This window comes from Homo sapiens, chromosome 4 (genome assembly GCF_000001405.40).
Source record: "Homo sapiens chromosome 4, GRCh38.p14 Primary Assembly".
In the NCBI taxonomy this organism is placed as follows: domain Eukaryota; kingdom Metazoa; phylum Chordata; class Mammalia; order Primates; family Hominidae; genus Homo; species Homo sapiens.
This window is the reverse complement of record NC_000004.12, coordinates 128,531,619-128,554,462: the sequence shown is the minus strand read 5'-3', so window position 1 is coordinate 128,554,462 and position 22,844 is coordinate 128,531,619. Positions and strand designations below refer to the sequence as shown.

At 42.0% G+C, this 22,844-nt stretch overlaps 1 long non-coding RNA gene across 2 annotated transcripts, besides 4 other annotated features; it reads left to right on the top strand.

Moving 5' to 3' along the window:
* The first annotated feature begins 909 nt into the window (after positions 1-909).
* Positions 910-5,571, top strand: LOC101927259 (uncharacterized). 2 transcript variants are annotated; one of them, NR_187927.1, is made up of 3 exons: positions 910-1,101; positions 2,037-3,024; positions 5,208-5,571. It is a non-coding gene; the product is annotated as an uncharacterized LOC101927259 (long non-coding RNA). The 2 variants fall into 2 exon arrangements; NR_187926.1 differs by lacking the exons at positions 2,037-3,024; positions 5,208-5,571 and adding an exon at positions 1,626-1,956.
* Positions 1,031-1,100: an enhancer, noted in NCBI's record as "active region_21891". NCBI's record gives its function as "activates an Ori minimal core promoter by ATAC-STARR-seq in GM12878 lymphoblastoid cells {active_cell/tissue: GM12878}" and the evidence as "EXISTENCE:reporter gene assay evidence [ECO:0000049][PMID:35858748]".
* Positions 1,121-1,310: an enhancer, noted in NCBI's record as "active region_21890". NCBI's record gives its function as "activates an Ori minimal core promoter by ATAC-STARR-seq in GM12878 lymphoblastoid cells {active_cell/tissue: GM12878}" and the evidence as "EXISTENCE:reporter gene assay evidence [ECO:0000049][PMID:35858748]".
* Positions 18,176-18,829: an enhancer, noted in NCBI's record as "H3K27ac-H3K4me1 hESC enhancer chr4:129456789-129457442 (GRCh37/hg19 assembly coordinates)". NCBI's record gives its function as "activates a minimal SCP1, AML or CMV promoter by ChIP-STARR-seq in primed H9 embryonic stem cells {active_cell/tissue: H9 hESC(primed)}" and the evidence as "EXISTENCE:reporter gene assay evidence [ECO:0000049][PMID:30033119]".
* Positions 18,830-19,483: an enhancer, noted in NCBI's record as "H3K27ac-H3K4me1 hESC enhancer chr4:129456135-129456788 (GRCh37/hg19 assembly coordinates)". NCBI's record gives its function as "activates a minimal SCP1, AML or CMV promoter by ChIP-STARR-seq in primed H9 embryonic stem cells {active_cell/tissue: H9 hESC(primed)}" and the evidence as "EXISTENCE:reporter gene assay evidence [ECO:0000049][PMID:30033119]".

Below are 22,844 nucleotides of genomic sequence, written 5' to 3'. Positions count from 1 at the left end.
TGAGCCTAAGGGTGTATGTGTATAAGGGTCCTTGGCTTACATATGAGTCTCTGTCTTTCTCTCAGCTACCTCATTCACCTAAACATCTGTTAGGAGCTTTGAGATTCTTTAAACCTGCATGAGTGACACCAGGAAAATTACCCCATCCTCAAACAGGTTTGGGCTCTAGGAATGATTCTGCCCAGCAGCCCATCTTTCCATCTAGTTGAGACCGAGCAATGAAGTCAAAGAACATTCTTTGGTCAAATATGTTTTGGCCTGGATTTGCTAGAAGAGCTCTTTGGACTTGCTGAGAACTCAATTACTGAATCTTCTTTCATTTAGCTTTTGTGTTTCCTGGACAGAACTCAAGAGGAAGATATTATTGTAGTGGGGTTAAACAAGGTCACTCTAGTCTGAGTGACAGACAATAATAACGAGCCCCAGAAAGGTACCTGTTTTCCAGGGTGGTGTGATCAGTATTACACAAAAATCTTGCAAGCCATCTTTTACGAGGCCAGCAAGATCACAGAAGGCAATACCCAGTTTGCTCAGAGACAAGCTGTTTGCTAATCAAGTTTTCTTATACTCAGAACTATGGAAACATTTTCAAAGGTATTATTCTCGGCAGGTTTCCAATAATTCAACATTTCCAGACTTATCCAAATGGCTTCTGAAATATTTGCTGTTTGTTGAGAGCAGCTTTCAGGATGAGGTAATTAAAAGAAACCTATCAATTTGAGATTTTTTTTTACCGTGAGTAAATAATGTTGACATACTGTTCAAATAAACCCACAATTTACTGCAATCTGTTTTTAGAGAAACCCTCCACTTTAACCTCCAAATAGGAAAAAACGAAGAGACTTTCCTCTTCTCATTTAATCAAGAACATATGTTCAAAGATAATACCGGAGGCTTATTCTGGGAAGCGTTCTGCTCTTCCTCCGACAGCCACGCAGCGAGCTCACGAGGCAGCCTCCACACATAATGAAAGCAAACGCCACCATAAATCTCCCGCTCGGCGGAGGTCACTTCAGAAAAATCGCCCGCTGCTCAGATAAGCACCAGCTTTGCTGAGGAACATGGAAGGGGGAAAACACCGACTGTGATAAACACCAGCAGGTAGGCTCCAAATGGAGGCCAACCCAGGCAACTCGGAGAGAAGGGAGCCGGGATGAAGCAGGTGTGTGTGCGTGTGTGTGTTTACACACAACAGCCCTGGCCCAGTGTGTTCTGGCTGCGAGAACAAGCAACCGCACCACGAGAGGAGCTGCTCTCCCCCCCGGGAGGAGAGCTCCGGAGGCACCAATTTTCATTAAACCTAGGAGTACACACAGGGGCAGGAGGCCAAAACAGTCCTCGAAACTGAGGCTTTTAAAAACATCTGTTGGCAGCGTTGAGATCCTAGAAGAGAGAGAGAGACGGAGAGAGAGAGAGAGAGAGAGAGAGAGAGAGAGAGAGAGAGAGAGCTCAGAGTCCAGCACTTTCATTTCCAGACTGTGAGTCATAAAAGGAGTACGTAAATCCCTATCGCCAGAATACGCTGACCCAAGTCTGGGTTTATGAACACCTGAAGTACATTTCATGAGAATTAGCTTTAAATATCAACCTGATCACAAAGCTTGAAAGGTTTTCTCCCATCTCAGGATGACTGGAGTCCGCTGGAACCTGGAATGGAGTTTTCTGACAGCAAAGGATTACAGGAGCGTAACAGAAATTATGGAGATTTCCCCGCTAGGCATAAGGATGCGATCACTGTAGGCACCTGTGGGCCCAAGCAGGTTACCCACCAATATCCCTTTAAACACCAAATTATGGACTATTAGGCCACTGCTTCAAGGCTTCTACAAATGTGAAACCTTGACAAATTCCCAAATAAAAGCCATAAAACCAATCATTTTTTAAACCTGTATGAGTGACACCAGGAAAATTACAGCAGTGTGGCAGGTCACTGTGAAATAAAGCTGCCAGAAAGAAGCTTACGATGCTGTCATGGAAAAGGCAATTAGAAGGTTACTTTCTCTCAGGTCTAAGATTGGTTCTTGTTCTTCCTACAGCTCCCTGCCTTCCACCTCCCTGCTGCAAAATGGATCAATCTATAATAAGTAGTAGTTATATATCATAAGGCAGCAATTCCTTTTAGTTGTTCCACTATAAAAAAGCATCCAGATTTAGAACTTGACAGGAACCAGTATCGCCTGCCCCCCAGAGCCGGCAGAAAGTCTGTGTATGTCATTCAGCCAGCATGGAGTCTGGGTGTTTTAAAAGCTTTAATTTGAAGGGGATAAAAAACCTGGGCGTTAAGCAATTTGGCTGTGGATATTTAATGCATCAGCCACGCTATAGAATTGGAGTCCTCTATTTAAAATGAGAAATTGAAAACTTACACGCTCTGTAGGCAAGGTGTAAGTAAATGTAGGATGGTAAGCAGAAATCAGCTGAGAACCTGCAGAAACGCCATTAGAAGGACTAATGGCATGGTTCAGAAGTGGCCTTAAACAAATGCTAGGGTGTCGTTTGTAAGTGTGTAAAACAGGTCTGGCTTTTAATTAGCAGGAGCCATATCTCCCTGTGTTTAGGAAAAGGCATTACTTCTCAAAGAGAATATCCTAACGGGGTCTACATAGGGACCAGGAGGAAACAATGGCCCGGGAGTTGAGATTTGCCTCAAGGCACGTTCCTCCTCAATGGCAGCGTGGAGATTGGAACTCAGTCTCCTTATCTCTAATTTCCACTCTAACACACTTATTGTAGGTAGAAAAAATGCATCCCAAAGATGTCTACTTCTTACTCCCCAGAACCTGTACATACAGCACCTTACATGGCAAAAGTGACTTTGCAGATACGATTGAGTTAAGGGTTTTGAGATAGGGAGATTACCAGGTGGCCCAACGGAATCACAAGGGGCCTGATAAGTATGAGAGGGAGCAGAAGAGTGAGGGTCAGAGTCAGAGAGAGACTGGAAGATGCTATACCACTGGCTTTGAAGATGAAGGAGGGGGACACAAGCCAAGGAATGCAGGCAGCCTCTAAATGCAGGAAAAGGTAAGGAAATCGGTCTTACAGCCTCCATAAAAATGCCATCCTGCCAATGCCTTGATTTCAGCCTCATGAGACCCTTTCAGACTTCTGATCTCTAGAACTGTAAGAGAATACATTGCGTTGTTTTAAGCCACTAAGTTTGTGATGATTTATTACAGTACCAAGAGGAAATCACTACAGTGTTCTAGCTGGGGATCACATTTCCCCACCTCATTTTGATCTACTCAAAGTAGTCCATTACCTCAGTGCTGGTTAGAGTCTTTATAAAAGCAAAAACAACAGAATTCAGATGCTTCTGCAGTTCTCTCTGGTATGGAGAGCAGGTGTAATCCCGAGACCCATAACCTAGAGTTGGACCAGCGTGTACCAAGGTGGGGCTTGGCAGGAGTGGTCCACCCTTTTGGGAAGGAGTGTTTTATCACTGACATTGTTAAGGGTCACCACAGCAGATTTTTAGTGGGTTTTGTTGTTTTTAAATTCTCATAGGCAGTGCACCTCTTATTGCCTGTTCCAGCATGATCTGCTCCCACTGCCCACACCCACCATTAACCTCCACCGTTGGTCTTTAGTGTCTTCTACTTTCCTTTTTGGATTTTGTTTTTGTTTGTTTTATTTTTTAAATTTTTTAACTTTCCTTTATGACACTCTTTCTTGTGGCACCTTGTTGGCTCTCTGCTCTGTGTCTCTTTCCCATATGAATGATTCCTAAAGGAAAGATTTTTTCTAATTATCAGCTCTGTGTTAAGAAATTAGTTGGAAAGAACTTAAAGTATGAGGGTTCATCAACTATTTCTGGTGTATTAGAATACTCTATTTCATTTGGGTGTGTTTCATTAATGACTTCTACCCTCTTATCCCTGCTGCTTCTGTAAAGCCTTCAAGACCCCTCAAAGTTAATCTCTACAGGTGAAATTTCAGGCTCCTGGTTTGGGTGGGCCTTTTCCAGAGTGTCTCATGTACACTTTGTAGATACAGCTTTGGAGTCAGACAGACCGGGGTTTGACTCCCTGACCCACCATTTACTAGTGATGTCACCTTGAAAAAAATTATTTATTGTCTCACTTTGTTTATCTGTAAAATGGAGAACATAACAATGATCTTGCTCCATAGTGAGAAATTAATGCGATTTTGTATTTCAAGTGTTTAGCAGAGTGTGACCCACACAAGCCACAGAAATCGTGGTGGTGGAGAAGTCACAAAGTGCTTGGTGCCCATACTTCTCAGATTCTGAAACTTCTGGTCACGTAGGATTTGAAAGCCCATTTACATCCTATGGGGCCAGAAGTTTCAGAATCTGAGTGTTGAAAAGAAATATCCACCAAATGTGTAACAGCAGCAAGCATTTACACATAGCTAGCTGTGAACCTTCTTCTTGGATAGCGGGCTCCAACAAGAATAAGCAATGGTAAGAGATGATCTACAGCCCTGTCCAAAAGAAGCTCATGGTTTAGGAGGGAGAAGATATAAAGACATAATTACTGAATTACTGGCATTTATCACTCTATATGAAGTGTCATTACAACTGAGGATGATGAGAAGACCCAGGAGACAAAATCTTCCAAGGGAATCAGGAACAAGGGCACAGAGGTAATGAATTTTGAGTTGGGTCCTGGAGCGTGAGTAGGAGTTTGCAAAGCAGAAAATAGGAGAAAAATTATACCAGGCAGAGAAAAGTGTATAAGAAAAACAAAGTAAAAGAATATCAACAGAGAACATCTCCTGAGCATAACAATAATATTGAAGCCATGGGTACAAATTAAATCCAGTTCAATGAGTTAAAGCCATAGCAACTTGCACTGAATCATCAACAACTTAACTTTCTCTGGATCTGCTGCAAAGTGATTTCAGGGTCACACCGAACATTCTTCCTTGACTAAAAACGATGCCTTGAGAATTCACTGATGGCCACAGTGCAATCAATACTAATCAGGTAATACGCCCTGGCCCTGAGATAACAGAGCATCTAGAATCCCAATGTATGAATTCATACCTAATCTATATACTGCCTTATATGAGTGGAGGATTTGTTCACATTCCAAAGCATTTTAGTAAGATGCTAAGAAAAATCAATAACTTATTAAATACCAGTTACCTCATTAAAACAAACAATTAATCATCTTTGTTGCTATTATATTGGGACCACAGATCTGACTTTATATATTTTTCATTGGTGTGTATGCTCACAGGTTTACTCCATTCATTAGAGGAGATGACAGAACTCTTGACAGCAATGCTATCAAGAAGGAAGTTTCAGTTTAAGAACCCCTCTGGGCTTGCAGAATGACACACACTGCAGCCAAGATGGTGCTACTATAAGAAATGGACTCCCCAGCACGTTATTGAAGAAAAAAAAAACCTGCAGCAATCAAAAAAAAAAGGGGGGACGGGGGCAAATCTATAACTTCAGCTGGAAGTGATGAAAATTAACTGTTAGAAGTAGAAGAGACCTTATGCTACTAAAATAATAATCATCACTTCAAATATTTCCTGCTCTTGAAATATTTTGTCAGTGCCCTGTGATATCGGGAAATAAAGTTACGTTCATTTCCAGTTTTAAGATGGAAATGGGAGTTCACATTAGCGTACATACATATTTTGTGAAATGGAAAAATGAGACCCACTGTCAGCCACAATAATAAGTACATTCCTCAAAAAATGAAGACTTCTGGTTTGATTTCATTGACCTGTTAGGAATGGTTAACTTTTTAATTTTTTTTTTTTTTGAATACAAATTTTGAGTTATCTCTCCCAAGGCCATCATGTCATCAATTTCTTAGGAATATAGAGAAAAGGTTGAACTATATGCCTATGAATCTGTGAATAAATTACTCTTCTTATCTATGGAAATGTCCCCTACACTTAAAAAGTATGGTCAGCATTATGTAAGCTAAACCGACAAGTGCTGAGTTAAACAAAATTATCTCAGTAAATTATATATGATAGGGTTTTTTTTCCCTAGGAATCTTTGAATAGCATTTCTTAAGAAATTGTGATTATTAGGTCCAAATAATTTAAAGTTGCCATTTCATTTAGAGTTGGCTGATTTTTGTGTGAATGTTTTTGCAAAGAGCATCATATGTGAGTCTTCCCTGCAGCCTGCATAGTGCAGTGGAAAGAAAACAGACACTGCATTTCTTAGTCTGGATTTGAATCCTAACCACCCTCAGACTGTCTTTAGTCAGTAACTTTACTTTTCTAAGTCAGTATTTTCAGATATTAAATAGGGGTAAATAACATTTCCCCTATGTATCTCACTGGAGTATCATTATGATGAGCTAAAGTCATGTGTATAAAAGAATATTATAAAATCTGGGACCCTAACTGGTTAGTCATCCTGTGTTGTTGCACTAAAAGAAACACAACAAAAAGAAACCCAGCAACTGAAAGTTAAAGTTATTCTGAAATTTATTTGTAGCTTTAAAGAGTATTAAAAGAGATCTAATTTATAATTCATAGCACTTTTTTTTCTTTTTCTTTTTTTCTTTTTTTTTGAGACTGAGTTTCACTCTTGTCACCCAGGCTGGAGTGCAATGGCGTGATCTCTGCTCACTGCAACTCCCACCTCCTGGGTTCAAGCGATTCTCCAGCCTCAGCCTCCCAAGTAGCTGGGATTATAGGTGCCCACCACCATGCCCAGCTAATTTTTGTATTTTTACTAAAGACGGGATTTCACCATGTTGGCCAGGCTGGTCTTGAACTCCTGACCTCAGGTGATCTGCCTGCCTCAGCCTCCCAAAGTGCTGGGATTACAGGCATGAGCCATATGCTTGGCCAATTCACAGCACATTTCTGATAGTCCCCCCCTTACTGTACCTCTCAAGTTCTCTCACACTCTCACATTCTCACATGTGGTTGTTTTGGAGCCTCTTTATCAACTCCTCCCTCTCAACTCTCCACCCAACCCCTCTCCAACACTCAGGACTTAAAGCTTGTCTATATCTGTCTTCTCCCCCATCCCCTGTGTACCACCTCTTCTCCTCAAGCTCTTTATTGCATATATCATTTTGGCTTTCTGCCTTCCTTCCATACAGCTATGCCCCAGATTCTCCACCAGAAAAGCCTAGGGGGAATCCAGCAGGCAAAAATCTTCCATGCAACACTCCTATCCCCAAGCAAGTGGTGTAGAATGAAGAGACGGAGAATATTCATACATTCATATTTTTCACTTTGGGAGGCTGAGCAGGCAGATCACCTGAGGTCAAGGGTTTGAGACCGGCCTGGCCAACATGGTGAAACCCCATCTCTACCCAAAATACAAAAATTTGCCAGGCGTGGTAGCACATGCCTGTAATCCCAGCTACTCGGGAGGCTGAAGCATGAGAATCGATTAAGCCCAGGAGGCAGAGGTTGCAGTGAGCTGAGATCGTCCCACTGCACTCCAGCCTGGGCAACAGAGTGAGACCTGTCTGAAAAAAAAAACAAAACACACACAGACGCACATAATTTTAACACTTTTTGCACATTAATACTTTCACTCTAGCTGTTGTTCTCTATGCATATTAATAATTATATTGTCTTTTATCTTTTAGTTTAGGTAATAAGGTCTTTATTTTCAAAATAAGTAAAACAAATCACAAACGATTGACCCAGCAATTGATTCAGGATCCCAGAATCAGTCAAGAATGTAGGTAGAAAGTGAGTTTTAATTTTTTTCTACTCTACAGAACAGTGGTTCCCAGAGTATGTTCTAAGATATCCCTAGAGATGCCTCTGAAAAAGAAATCCAAGGCCAAATACAACAGAAAAATGCTGTATTCTGTCTTCCTTCAGGGGGCGGGGGTCCACAATGCATACTGGCAACTGAGGGAAGTCCTGAGTTTGTAAAGAAATCTACGCACAAAAACAGAGATTAGAGACTTAGTGGGAAAAGCAAGATTATAAAACATTTAGGACAATATTTTTAATCTCTTGTAGGGAAACTTTCTTAAATTGGACCCCAAAAGCACAACCATAACATAAAAGATTGATACATTCATCTCTATTAAAATGTAAAACTTCTCTTCATGAGAGAACATCATTAAGAAAGTGAAAACATGAATCACAAATTGACAGAAAAAATTTTTCAAATACGTAACTTAAGAATTACAATGAAGAAAGCATAAAGAACCCCTAAAAGTCAATAAGGAAAAGACAACCCAGTTAGAAATTGGGCAAGAATGTGGATAATAGCATTTACAGAAGAGGAAACTCAAACAACCAATAAATATATGAAAAGATGCTGAAATTCACTAGTAATAAAGGAGGTGAGAACCAAAATCACAATGAGATGGGCAAAAAATTCAAGTCTGACACTGCCAAGTGTCGACGCAGATACGGAGCAATGACATTTAAAGCCTGTTAGACTGAATGAAAATTAGAACCATCCCTTTGGATCACAATTTGGTTTATCCTATAAAGGTGAAGATGTACCTACCCTCACACCCACTGATACATACCCTAGAGAAATTCTTGTACATGTGCTCTAAAAAACGTTTACCAGAAAGTTCCTAGTACCATTGTTTGTGATGGCAAAACACCAAAGCCAAAATAATATTAATCAGACACTAAATGGCAAATGAATTGTTCATAAACAAAATGAATAATGGCAATGAAAATGAACTACAGCTATGTTTATCAACAGAGATGAAGTCCAGAAACACAGAATGGAATAAAGGACAAGTCTTAGAAGAATATCCACTGCATGCTTTTTTATAAAGCTAATTCAAAAGCTTTTTAAAAAAATTTTTTTTTTGAGACAGGGTTTGATCTGTCACCCAGGCTAGAGCACAGTGGCACCATCTGGGCTCACTGCAGCCTTGATCTCCTGGGCTCAAGTGATCCTCCTTCCTCAGCCTCCTGAGTAGCCTGGGACTACAGGCATGTGCCACCATGCCTGGCTAATATTTTTTCAAAAATTTTTTATAGAGATATGGTCTCACTAAGTTGCTCAGGCTGGTCTTGAACTCCTGGCCTCAAGCAATCCTCCCACCTTGCTGAGATTACATGTATAAGGCACCATGCCCAGCCCAAAAGCATATACAAATTTAAAATATATTATTTAACGATATATATTTATATACCTATAGTAGAACCATTATGAAAAACAAAACTCAAACACAAAATTCAGAATACTGATTACTCTGGGGAAAAGAGGAGGCTACAATCAGAAAGGGGCAACCAGGGGATTCTCTGGGATTGGTAGTGTATTTGTTAAGCTGGGTTTTTATTGTTCTTTATTGTGTGTGTGTGTGCGTGCGTGTGTGTGTGTGTGTAAATTTTTTGTATGCATTAATATTACATGCATTCATTTTAATTTTTAATTTAACTTATTTAGCTCAGTATCTCACAGACATTGCCCATGTAATCCTTTTATCTCCTTACACATACTAACACCCAGTCGAGGTCTGTTTCGGAAACACTGCTCTAGGCCTTAAAACCTCTCTTTTGGCAAACAGACTCGCCCCAGCCAAAACTTGGGGCTATTATTCCAGCAGGGCCAGGATGCCAGAGCAGATGCCTAGCTTTTCCTGGGGCCACGCTTCTCCAGGCCATGCTTGTGCACGTCTTCATAAGCACACATGAACTGTATATACCAGCCTTACCTCAGGTTTTAAAAGTCCTTGTTGTGGAAGTAGCAGGAGGTCTGCTGATGTGTACAAAACTAACTGATATTCAACTCCCCCATGTCCTTGGAGTCCACTTTCCCTCCCCAGCCTGTCCAGGCACACATGGCAGGAGAGATGACACTCCAAGCAGAGGTGCACGTTCTTGTAAGAATGAAAATTATTCTGGAGAGCTCAGTGTTTTCTGGGTTTTACCATGGAAGTATCTAGTCAGGCGCAGCATTTTCTGAGGCAATTCCTCTGTGCGGCTAATGCCTAATAATCTTCCAATATAAATAGCTCCTGCTGGGCTTTTGATTTTCACACCTTGGTGGACTCGTTGAGAGATACTTTACAGCCGGTTGCAATGCTGAGAAGCCAACATGTTTTTCCCCATGCCTTTGCTGATAAAGGACTTTTGAATCGCTGTGATTGTAGCAATATTAAACTCCCATGCATGGCTGTTGGACTTTAGTCTCTCATTAGTATCAGGTTTAATGAGGTCAGGCTAAGAGAAGATTGTATGTTCTTAAACTGAGTTGACATTGATTGTCACTACCATGGAGTGGCCTACTATACTTTAAACCCCTGGTTCAGAGGGAATATTTCATTTTTGCTAACATTGTCTTCCATTGTGAAGACTGATTTCAGCATAATGATCCATCACCTGAGGAGATTCACTCTGCTGCTTCGAAACTCATATCTTGTAACCAGACATTTTATATTCTCTGAGTCTCCCGTTCCCAGCTCCCCGGCTTACTGCACCTGCTTTTTCATAGCTCACGGCCCTCTCTCCTTACAGGGGATGCCACAGAGATGTTCACCTCTCACTTCTTTTTCTCCATTTTCTTTTTCAAGAAACCTTGTCACTTACACACAGTTTCCAGCTCAAGAGCAAGCCATCTATCATCACATGAGGTGAAAGTGGCACGGAGCAATGTGTGCTGAAGCAGAACCAACATGGAAATGGTGAATTTGTTTTCACAAAGTGTCAAATGGACCGAAGCGTCCTTAACACACTGGCTTTACCCCGGAATGGCATTTGGAGGGCAGGGAGGTGATATTTTCCTCAACCCAAGGCTAGGAGGTCAGATGAGCAGCAAGAAGATACTGGAAATCCATCCCAACTGTCTCCCTGGGTCTCACGTCACCCTTTCTCTTTGCACATCTGCTCAGTCTCCTCTCTTCCTCTGCTCACCAGCCTTCTCTGGTCCCAGCCCATAGAGCAGAGCTCATGACTGCCCCAGGTCTCCTGAGGACTCATAGTCCAACCATACTTCTCTCCAGTCCCAAATGCAAATTACCAGAGTTGCAATTTCAGTTGACCCCATCTGGGTCAGCTGCCAATCCACTGGAGCCAGAGGTCAGGGGCACATGCACCTAGATGTTCCTGGGGGCCATTTCCTCTGACTCCAGGCACCCAATTAAGAGTGTTATTACAAGCTGGACAGACATACCAAAGTGCATCCAATATATGCACCTGTCCTTAAGAGCATAATAATACTTCAAAAAATCATCATGATGCATTCTATAATTTATTTCACAAATAATCAATGAACCCCTAATTTGTCAGGCACTGTGCTAGGCTCTGAGGATTCAGGCAGATGATGTCCAGCCCTCTAGTGGGAGAGATAAACAAAAGAACAACCAACTTACAAACAAAATAATAACAGATTGCAATAACTGCCACATAAAAAATGGAAGGGGTTATGTGACAGAGTATTTGAGGGATGCACGTGGAGGCATGCTTGTCTGAGGCCCTCTTGAAGAGCTAATGTTAAATACCTAAGGAAGAAGGTGATTTCAGTAGAGGGGATGGTGGGGGCCCTGAGGTGGAAAAGAACCTAGGGGATACAATATGAGTTTAGAGACACAGACAGGATCCAGTTCATTTGGGGCCTGTGAGCCATGCTAGGAGGTGGGGCTTTTATTCTAAGGGCACAAGGAAGATGTTGACAAAGGTCAAGCAGAGGAGAGCTTGATCTGATTTATGTTTTTAGAAGATGACTTTGGGGTGGGATTGTGTGGAAGCAGGGAGGCTGGTTAGGAAGCTGTTGTGGTAGTTCAGGAGAGAGAGCAGATGAACCTTTGGGAGGGTGACAGTCATTAGGATGGACAGATGTTACAGTCCAAATGTTTGTGGCCCCCAAAATTCATACATTGAAATCCAATCCCCAATATGATCATATTAAGAGGTAAGGCCTTTAGGAGGTGATTAGGTCATGAGTGGGGAGCTCTCATAAATGGTATTAGTGCTCTTATAAAAGAGCCTGAGGGGCTCGTTTGCCTGTTCCACCAGGTGAGGAAGCAGCAAGAAGGTGCCATCCATGAATCAGAAAGTGGGCCCTAACCAAATCTACTGGCACCTTGATGCAGGACTTCCAGCCTCTAGAACCATGAGAAATAAATGTTTATTGTTTATAAGCTGCTCAAACTGTAGTCTTTTGTTTTAGCTGCACAAACAAACTTAAGACAATAGAAGAACCAGATTCTAGATGTATTTTGTAGTAGGACAGCCCAGAACTTGCTGATGCATAGGATTTGAGGTGGAAAAAAAAGAATTTCAGATGACTCCTAGCTTAGGTTTCAGTGGCTGCATGGATGGTGAGCCATTTTCTGGAATAGGGCAGATTGGAATGACTGACCAGATCTTTATCACAGAAGACGTCAAAGCAAGAACTCTGCAGCCCCAGACATCGAGGTTCTTGGAACCTGATCTGCTGAGAAACTCTTGGTTCTCTCTGTAGTCCAAGGGCTCTAATTCTCATAGACCATCACCGTAATTCCACTTCAGTCACCCCAACCACACCTCCTCCCTCAAAACCTACCTATCTATCCCTAGGATGCTTAGAGGAAGAAAGGCTTGGGGTTGACGCAGTGAATTAACCCAAATATCAATTCTCTCCTTTCTAACTCTGTACATTGTTAGGACAACTTTGCTCCAAGTGCCCTATCAGCCTCCACCTCTACAATAAGGGCAGGGAGAACATATTTACTTCACAGAGCTTTCATTTTTAAAACTGAAACAAAGCTATACATGTAAAGTACTTATTCCAGTGCCTACATTATGGTGAGTATTTGATACACATTGGATGTCATTATTCTTAGCATTTCTTTTTTTTTCATTTCTTTTACTTTTTTCAAGGTAAATTTATTACCAGGTACAAATTTGCTGCTTATACACAGAGACTGGAAATAAGTTTTGTTTGTCTTTAGCTCCACAGATGACGGGTGTTTTGTAGCAGTATAATTATCCAGGCAAAAAATTTCACCACCAGGAAAATAGATGTTCAATTGCATTTGCCCAAAATAAAAACTAAGATAAAGACAGAAAATCTTTTCCTGATTTGTGAAATTATTTGTATGAAATGTCTTACCAAGATATAAAATTAAATTACATTTAGTTATACATTTAATTAATTCCTTATTGAAAAGAATAAAATACATGAAATGAGAACTATTCCAGAAATTCAGTACATATGGTCATTGTCCAATGGAGATCAATATAATGGGATTTTACTTGCATTTCCTGCCAAAGAATAGCTTTTCTGGCAGGTAGACATTACTTAGAGGTTGAAGACAACAAAAGAATGTCTCACTAAGGAGCGTTCTGGTATCTCTTTTCCTATAAATTCTCAAGTGTGGAGCAGACAGAATATGTCCACTAATTAAATTTAATAATCTCTTTCAAGAGGTTAGCACTTATGCTACCTAACGTGATTTCCTATTCCATATCCCTCAGCCATTCATTTTGTCTTGGAGGCCATCTCATCAGACAGGAAAATAATAAACTCTCAAGACTGGGGGCACCTTAAAGGCCAACTCATCCACCTCTCCATCAGGATAGAAAATAAATGAGATAAATAAATATTCTCTGCTGTTCGAGTTCTACCCAAAGCATAGAATAGCCAATAGCCTTGGATAGAATATACAAGGGAATAGCTACTGCTATTCCCACCATCCCACATTCAGCTGCCCTTGCAGGAAAAGCAAGTAATCCTGCCTCATTGATGGGCAGAGCTCCACCGTGTTCACAAAGTCAAAGCAATCTCCTACTGAGATTCCATGATAGGCCTCCTCTTAGTCTTAGTAGTGGCCTTTCCATTTGAAGGAAGTCCTTATGAGCCACAAATATCTGATAAAACCCAATACATCAAAGAAGCAGGATGTGCTAGGTAGAATAATGAACCCCTAAAGATGCCCACATCCCAATCCTCAGAACCTGTGAATGCATTCTTTTTGCACATGAGATATGATATTTATATGGTAATATAACATAGACATGTATACATATGTACATTTCTGTTCATATATATGAAGTATATTGTTACTAATCAGTGGTTAACCTTGAGATGGGGAGATTTTCCTGTTCTGGATTATCCAGATGCCCCAACGTGATCACAAGGGTCCTTATAAGTGAAAGTAGGAAGCAAGAGAGTGAGGGTCAGAGTCAGAGAGAGACTGGAAGAGGCTGCCCTGCTGGCTTTAAAGATGCAGGAAGGGGCCATGGCTAAGAAACGCAGGCAGCCTCTAGAGGTGGGAAAGGTAAGGAAACAGATTCTCCCACAGAGCCTACTGAAAGAAGCACAGTCCTGAGGACATTGCTTCTAAGCCTAATAAGACCCACTTCAGATGTCTGGCCCCAGAACTGTAAGGGAATAAATCCATGCTGTTTTAAGCCACGAAGTTTGTAGTCATTTGTTACAAGAGTAATTGAAAACCAATATGTAGGGTGGGTAAACATGAGAGGGTAACAAGAGACTTCATTTCCTCCCGAAGCCTCTTGGAAACCTCACAGGAGCCCCAGTTGAAGAGCTGTGTATGTGTGTTCCTGACCCCCAAAGGCCAACCTACAGCTTCCAGCTACTGATGGCTTTTTATCACGGCATAGTGAAGGCAAACCAGGTACTCATGTGCAAAATAATTTCAAGGAGAGAGTTAAGGTGGGGAGAAATTAAAGGACATTTTAACAGGCCAGGCATGAAGTGGTGAGCATGGGAACAGAGTAGCAGTGATTCAAGAAAAGCCATAACTTTTGGGTCACTCCACCACCACCAAGCCTTAGCCATCCTGGCTTTCCCGTTGTTCCTACAACTCACTGTGCTCATGGAGAGCTTGGGCCCTTCTGCCCGAAAAGATCTTTCCCCTGATAGTACAAGGACTCAGAGCTCACCATTCAATGGCACCACCTCAGAGAGCTTTTCTGTGCCCACCCCATCTATAGCGCCATCCAGGCAGCATTATATGACTTTGCTTCAATTCTTTACTGAGCACTTAACAAAATTTCATGAGTTTCTTATTTACATGTTTACATATTTATTTATCATCTATTTTCTCCACCTGGAATATAAGCTCCATGACAACCAGCACTCTGTCTGTCTTCTGCCCACTTACATTCCCAGGGCCTAGATGAGTACCTGGCACACAGGAGGTGCTCAATAAATACATATAGAAGGAACAAATAAAACTGGAAAGTCCTCAGTTACTCATTGGATAGAGAAGGAAACAGAAGGATGAATCAGGAGTGCTGGGAAGGGAAGAGTGTGTTCCCTTTAAACGATACGGAAGAGGGACAGGGAAGTGCTGGGTAGAGGAGGGCGGGTCCCTGGCTAGGGCTTCACCCCCACAGACCTTGGTGAGGACAGGCACTTCTGCCTATGTGCCCAAATGTTACATTTCCCAAGATCACCCTGGCCCACCACACCCCCATCCTGGGCCTACAAAAACCTGAGACCCTAGCGAGGCAGAGAGAGGTGGCTGGACGTCGAGAGGAACACGTCATTGGAAGTAGGCACAAGTGGCTGGATGGCGAGAGGACATCGAGGGGAGCATGCTGGCAGAAGAGCACACCGACAGACACTGCAGGCCATCGACTTGCAGGTCGAGGTGGAGCTTAGCCAGGGCACTCTGAGGAGAGCAAGGGCACCCAGCGGCCCAACTCCAGGGGAAAACTATCTCCCTTCTGGCTTGTCCATCAGCGAAGAGCTACTTCTACTCAATAAAACCTTGCATTCATTCTCCAAGCCCATGTGTGATCCGATTCTTCCGGTACATCAAGGCAAGAAACCCTGGGATATGGAAATCCCTCTGCCCTTGCCACAAGGTTCATCGAGCTGGTTAACGCAAGCTGCCTATAGACGGCAAACTAAGAGAGCACCCTTTAACACATGCCCACTGGGGCTTGAGGAGCTGTAAACATTTACCCCTAGACACTGCCGTGGGGTCGGAGCCCCACAGCCTGCCAGTCTGTATGCTCCCCTAGAGCTCTGAGGAGCGGGGCACTGAAGAAGCAAGCCACACGCCCCTTGCACGCCCTGCAAGGGGGACAAGGGAACCTTTCCCGTTTCAATATATGGCTCCAACATGTTTACCCTTAAGTACCTAGAGAGGTTGGTGCCATGGACAGAGATAGGAGAACAGAGAGAAAATGTAAATTCAGGACATAAAGCCAAGGATGAGTTTGATTTTCAGTATGTCAGGCATGAAATAATAGCAGGAAGTCCTGTGGGCACTTGAACTCATCAACTACCAGTTCAACTTGTTTTTTCATCATCTTCCTAAACTGGCTCCTGTTTTCTTCCTCTCTCTACTTCATTTGGTGACACCACCATTCAAGCAGTTGTCCAAGCTAGAAAGCTAGGAATTTATCCTGGACTCCCTTCTCTCACTCGTTCCAAAATCCAATCAGGCCAATTTTCAAATTGCCAAATTTAAGTAAGAGGCATATTTTTTCTTCCACATATGCTGCCCTTTTCTTTGATGAATCCTCAGTATGCTATCTTGCAGTTGTTTTTTAAAAAATAAATACACTTACTCAGTTTCCTCAAGGTAAAGATAACATTTTAACAATGAATGAAAAAATAACTACTTTTCAAAAGAAACCCCTATCGAAGAGAACTTTAAAAATAGATGTTTAAAAATGGTTCCATCATCTTGTGATTTTATTGCCAAAAATAACGTAAGGGGGTCATGTGTACACACATGGGTATCAGAACACTTTAAAAGCTTGGCATTTACTAACCTATTTTACGTTTTTTAGAAAAGAGGTTCAGCAGATAACGGCAACTATTTGTTAACACGACAAAAAGTACATATCTCTTCCAGTTAGCCTGCAAGAACAACTGATTGATATCAGGGATGAAACATATTTACCAACTTGAATTTCATCAAAGACATTTGTGTCATTACTAATAGAATTGAGCACGGAGTCTCATGATTAGTAAGTGTGCTTCCATTTGGAGTTCCATATCTTTATAAGGCCTTTTCCAGCTATATCAGCCACTACAAGCAAGAACTGAAATACACTGAGAACAAGACCTGCAAATCACTGTATTGCAAGTATTAAACCAAAACTTAAACAGAATAATTAGGTGTATTCAATCATTAGGTTTGTCTATTATAAGTAAATAAAATTATTTTAAATGCTTTAATCCCTTTTCTATTTTATCCTTTTACTGTTTATATTTTGGACAATGTTTTTAAATAGATATAATATATTAGTGGAGCAATAAGCATATAGTTGATTTGAAATATAAGTACACTGGGAGTGTGCAGCAGAGATTTCCATACCCACAGGATGTTCAATCACTGGAGCCAGAGGAGCCACCACAAAATGCACACAGCCCACAGCATGGAAACATTTCCATGGCTCCCCATTTTACGCAGCTGCCATCCTCTGTGACTATCAAGATGGGCGATGTGCTTGCACAGAGGTGTACTGTCTTCTGGGTACACTTAGATTTCATGAAACCTGAAAGACCTGGTAAGGAAGTAAAGCACAGCAGCAGTTTGTTACTACTGTAGCCACTAGCTTGCTGCTTGGATAAGGTGAACAAAGAGTTATGCTCAAGCACTGGCTTCTAGCCCTCGCTCCATCCCTTTCTCTCTCTCAAGAAAGCATATGGAATGCCAGTGGGGGACAGTCACCATATTCTAGGGATAACCTTGAATCTGCTCTAATTTAGGTTTCTAAAGGAGTAAAGCCATTACAAACCTAACACTTTATTATTAGTAACACATTGTTTGGCTGCACCCCAGTGAGTTAGGACTCCCAGGCTGAAAACCTCTTCCTTACAAAATCCCATTTCAGCTTCCCCATCCCTGCTTTCCTCTCACACCTCACTTTCTACCACCTTTGGTCTCACACTTTACCCTCAGGTGCCTGCACATATCATGCTGTTTCTTACTTTGTTCATAGTCTCCTTTGCCCAACATTTCTTCTACTTGCCATCCCCACCTGACTAACTTCTATTTTGCCATTAGGATTAAGCTTAATCCCACCACTGGGCATCTACCCAAAGGAAAAGAAATCATTATATTAAAAAGATACCTGCACTTGCATGTTTATTATAGCACTATTCACAATAGCAAAGTCATGGAACCTACCTAAGTGTCCATCAACAAACGACTGGATAAAGAAAATGTGGGGCGTGTGTGTGTGTGTATAAAATATATATGAGTGTGTGTGTATATGCACACACCATGAAATACTATGCAGCCATAAAAAAGAATGAGATCATTGCTGGCAAGATGGCTGAATAGGAACAGCTCTGGTCTGCAGCTCCCAGCAAGATCGACGCAAAAGGTGGGTGACTTCTGCATTTCCAACCGAGGTACCCAGTTCATCTCATTGGGACTGGTTGGACAGTGGGTGCAGCCCATGGAGGGTGAACCAAAGCAGGGTGGGGCGTTGGCTGACCCCGGAAGCGCAAAGGGTAGAGGAATTTTTCTCCCCTACCCCAGGGAAGCCATGAGGGACTGAGCCTGAGGAGCCATGCACATTCTGGCCCAGATACTGCACTTGTCCCCTGGTCTTCGCAACCCACAGACCAGGAGATTCCCTCTGGTGCCTACTCCACCAGGGCACTGGGTTTCAAGTACAGAACTGGGCGGCCGTTTGGGCAGACACCAAACTAGCTGCAGGAGTTTTTTTGTTTTTTTTTTTCATACCCCAGTGGCACCTGGAATGCTAGCGAGACAGAACTGTTCACTCCCCTGGAAAGGGGTGCTAAAGCCAGGGAGCCAAGTGGTCTGGCTCAGTGGGTCCCATCCCCACAGAACCCAGCAAACTAAGATCCACTGGCTTGAAATTCTCACTGCCAACACAGCAGCAATCTGAGATCCACCTGGGACGCTTGAGCTTGGTGGGGGGAGGGGCGTCCGCCATTGCTGATGCTTGAGTAGGCAGTTTTCTGCTCACAGTGTAAACAAAGCAGCCAGGAAGTTGGAACTGGGCAGAGCCCACTGCAGCTCAGCAAGGCTGCTGTGGCCAGACTGCCAGATTTCTCCTCTCTGGGCAGGGCATCTCTGAAAAAAAGGCAGCAGCTCTAGTCAGGGACTTATAGATAAAACCCCCATCTCCCTGGGACTGAGCACCTGGGGGAAGGGGCGGCTGTGGGTGCAGCTTCGGCAGACTTAAACGTTCCTGCCTGACAGCTCTGAAGAGAGCAGCAGATCTCCCAGCACAACGTTCAAGCTCTGCTAAGAGTCAGACTGCCTCCTCAAGTGGGTCCCTGACCCCTGTGTATCCTGACTGGGAGATACCTCCCAGTAGGGGCTGACAGACACCTCAGACAGGAGCTCTGGCTGGCATCTGGCAGGTGCCCTGCTGGGATGAAGCTTCCAGAGGAAAGAACAGGCAGCAATCTTTGCCGTTCTGCAGCCTCTGCTGGTGATACCCAGGCAAACGGGGTCGGGAGTGGACCTCCAGCAAACTCCAGCAGATCTGCAGCAGAGGAGCCTGTTAGAAGGAAAACTAACAAACAGAAAGGAATAATACATCCACTCAAAGACACCATCCGAAGGTCACCAACATCAAAGACCAAAGATGGATAAATTCACAAAGATGGGGAGAAACCAGCGCAAAAAGGCTGAAAATTCCAAAAACCAGAACGTCTCTTCTCCTCCAAAGGATCACAACTCCTTGCCAGCAAGAGAACAAAACTGGACAGAGAATGAGTTTGACGAACTGACAGAAGTAGGCTTTAGAAGGTGGGTAATAACAAACTCCTCTGAGCTAAAAGAGCATGTTCTAACCCAATGCAAGGAAGCTAAGAACCTTGAAAAAAGGTTAGATGAATTGCTAACTAGAATAACCAGTTTACAGAAGAACATAAATGACCTGACGGAGCTGAAAAACACAGCACAAGAACTTCGTGAAGCATACACAAGTATCAATAGCTGAATCCATCAAGCAGAAGGAAGGATATCAATGATTGAAGATCAACTTAATGAAATAAAATGAGAGGACAAGACTAGAGAAAAAAGAATGAAAAGGAACAAACAAAGCCTCCAAGAAATATGGGACTATGTGAAAATACCAAACCTACGTTTGATTGGTGTACCTGAAAGTGACAGGGAGAATGAAACCAAGTTAGAAAACACTCTTCAGGATATTATCCAGGAGAACTTCTCCAAGCTAGAAAGACAGGCCAACATTCAAATTCAGGAAATACAGAGAATGCCACAAAGATACTACTCGAGAAGAGCAACCCTGAGACACATGATTGTCAGATTCACCAAGGCTGAAATGACGAAAAAATGTTAAGGGCAGCCAGAGAGAAAGATCGCGTTACCGATCAAGGGAAGCCCATCAGACTAACAGCGGATCTCTCAGCAGAAACCGTACAAGCCAGAAGAGAGTGGGGGCCAATATTCAATATTCTTAAAGAAAAGAATTTTCAACCCAGAATTTCATATCCAGCCAAACTAAGCTTCATAAGTGAAGGAGAAATAAAATCCTTTACAGACAAGCAAATGCTGAGAGATTTTGTCACCACCAGGCCTGCCTTACAAGAGCTCCTGAAGGAAGCACTAAACATGGAAAGGAACAACTGGTACCAGCCACTGCAAAAACATGCCAAATTATAAAGACCATTGACACTATGAAGAAACTGCATCAACTAATGGGCAAAATAACCAGCTAGCATCATAATTACAAGATCAAATTCACACATAACAATATTAACCTTAAATGGAAATGGGCCAAATGCCCCAATTAAAAGACACAGACTGGCAAATTGGATAAAGAGTCAAGACTCATCAATGTGCTGTATTTAGGAGACCCATCTCATGTGCAAAGACACACAAAGGCTCAAAATAAAGGGATGGAGGAATATTTACCAAGCAACTGGAAAGCAAAACAAAGCAGGAGTTGCAATCCTACTTTCTGATAAAACAGACTTTAAGCCAACAAAGATCAAAAGAGACAAAGAAGGGCATTACATAATGGTAAAGGGATCAATGCAACAAGAAGAGCTAACTATCCTAAATATATATGCACCCAATACAGGGGCACCCAGATTCATAAAGCAAGTTCTTAGAGACCTATAAAGAGACTTAGACTCCCACACAATAATAGTGCGAGACTTTAACACCCCACTGTCGATATTAGACAGATCAGCAAGACAGAAAATTAACAAAGATATTCAGGACTGGAACTCAGCTTGGACCAAGTGGACTTAATAGACATCTACAGAACTCTCCATCCCAAATCAACAGAAAATACATTCTTCTCAGCACCTCATTGCACTTATTCTAAAATTGACAACATAATTGGAAGTAAAACACTCTTCAGCAAATGCAAAAGAATGGAAATCATAACAAACAGTCTCTCAGACCACAGTGCAATCAAATTAGAACTCAGAATTAAGAAACTCACTCAAAACCGCACAACTACATGGAAACTGAACAACCGGCTCCTGAATGACTACTGGGTACATAACGAAATGAAGGCAGAAATAAAGATGTTCTTTGAAACCAGTGAGAACGAAGACACAACGTACCAGAATCTCTGGGACACATTTAAAGCAGTGTATAGAGGGAAATTTATAGCACTAAATGCCCACAAGAGAAAGCAGGAAAGATCTAAAATTGACACCCTAATATCAAAATGAAAAGAACTAGAGAAGCAACAGCAAACAAATTCAAAAGCTAGCAGAAGACAAGAAATAACTAAGATCAGAGCAGAACTGACAGAGATAGAGACAGAAAAATCCCTTCAAAAAATCAATGAATCCAGGAGTTGGTTTTTTGAAAAGATCAACAAAATCAATAGACCGCTAGCCAGACTAATAAAGAAGAAAAGAGAGAAGAATCGAATAGACACAATAAAAAATGATATAGGGGATACCACCACTGATCCCACAGAAATACAAACTACCATCAGAAAATACTATAAACACCTCTACGCAAATAAACCAGAAAGCCTAGAAGAAATGGATAAATTCCTGGACACATACACCCTCCCAAGTCTAAACCAGGAAGAAGTCGAATCCCTGAATATACCAATAACAGGTTCTGAAATTGAGGCAGTAATTAATAGCCTACCAACCAAAAAAAGTCCAGGACCAGATGGATTCACAGCCAAATTCTACCTACCAGAGGTACAAAGAGGAGCTGCTACGATTCCTTCTGAAACTATTCCAAACAATAGAAAAAGAGGGAATCCTCCCTAACTCACTCTATGAGGCCAGCATCATTCTGATACCAAAACCTGGCAGAGACATAACAAAAAAGGAACATTTCAGGCCAATATCCCTGATGAACATCGATGCGAAAATCCTCAATAAAACACTGGCAAACTGAATCCAGCAGCACATCAAAAAGATTATCCACCATGATCAAGTTGGCTTCATACCTGGGATGCAAGGCTGGTTCAGCATACGCAAATCAATAAACATAATCCATCACATAAACAGAATCAATGACAAAAACCACATGATTAGCTCAATAGATGCAGAAAAGGCCTTCAACAAAATTCAACAACGCTTCATGCTAAAAACTCTCAATAAACTAGGTATCTATGGAACATATCTCAAAATAATAACAGCTATTTATGACAAACCCATGGCCAATATCATACTGAATGGGCAAAAACTGGAAACATTCCCTTTGAAAGCCAGCACAAGACAAGGATGCCCTCTCTCACCACTCCTACTCAACATAGTATTGGAAGTTCTGGCCAGGGCAATCAGGCAACAGAAAGAAATAAAGCGTATTCAAATAGGAAGAGAGGAAGTCAGACTGTCTCTGTTTGCAGATGACATGACTGTATATTTAGAAAACCCCATCGTCTCAGCCCAAAATCTCCTTAAGCTGATAAGCAACTTCAGCAAAGTCTCAGGATACAGAATCAGTGTGCAAAAATCACAAGCATTCCTATACACCAATAACAGACAAACAGCCAAATCATGAGTGAACTCTCATTCACAATTGCTACAAAGAGAATAAAATACCTAGGAA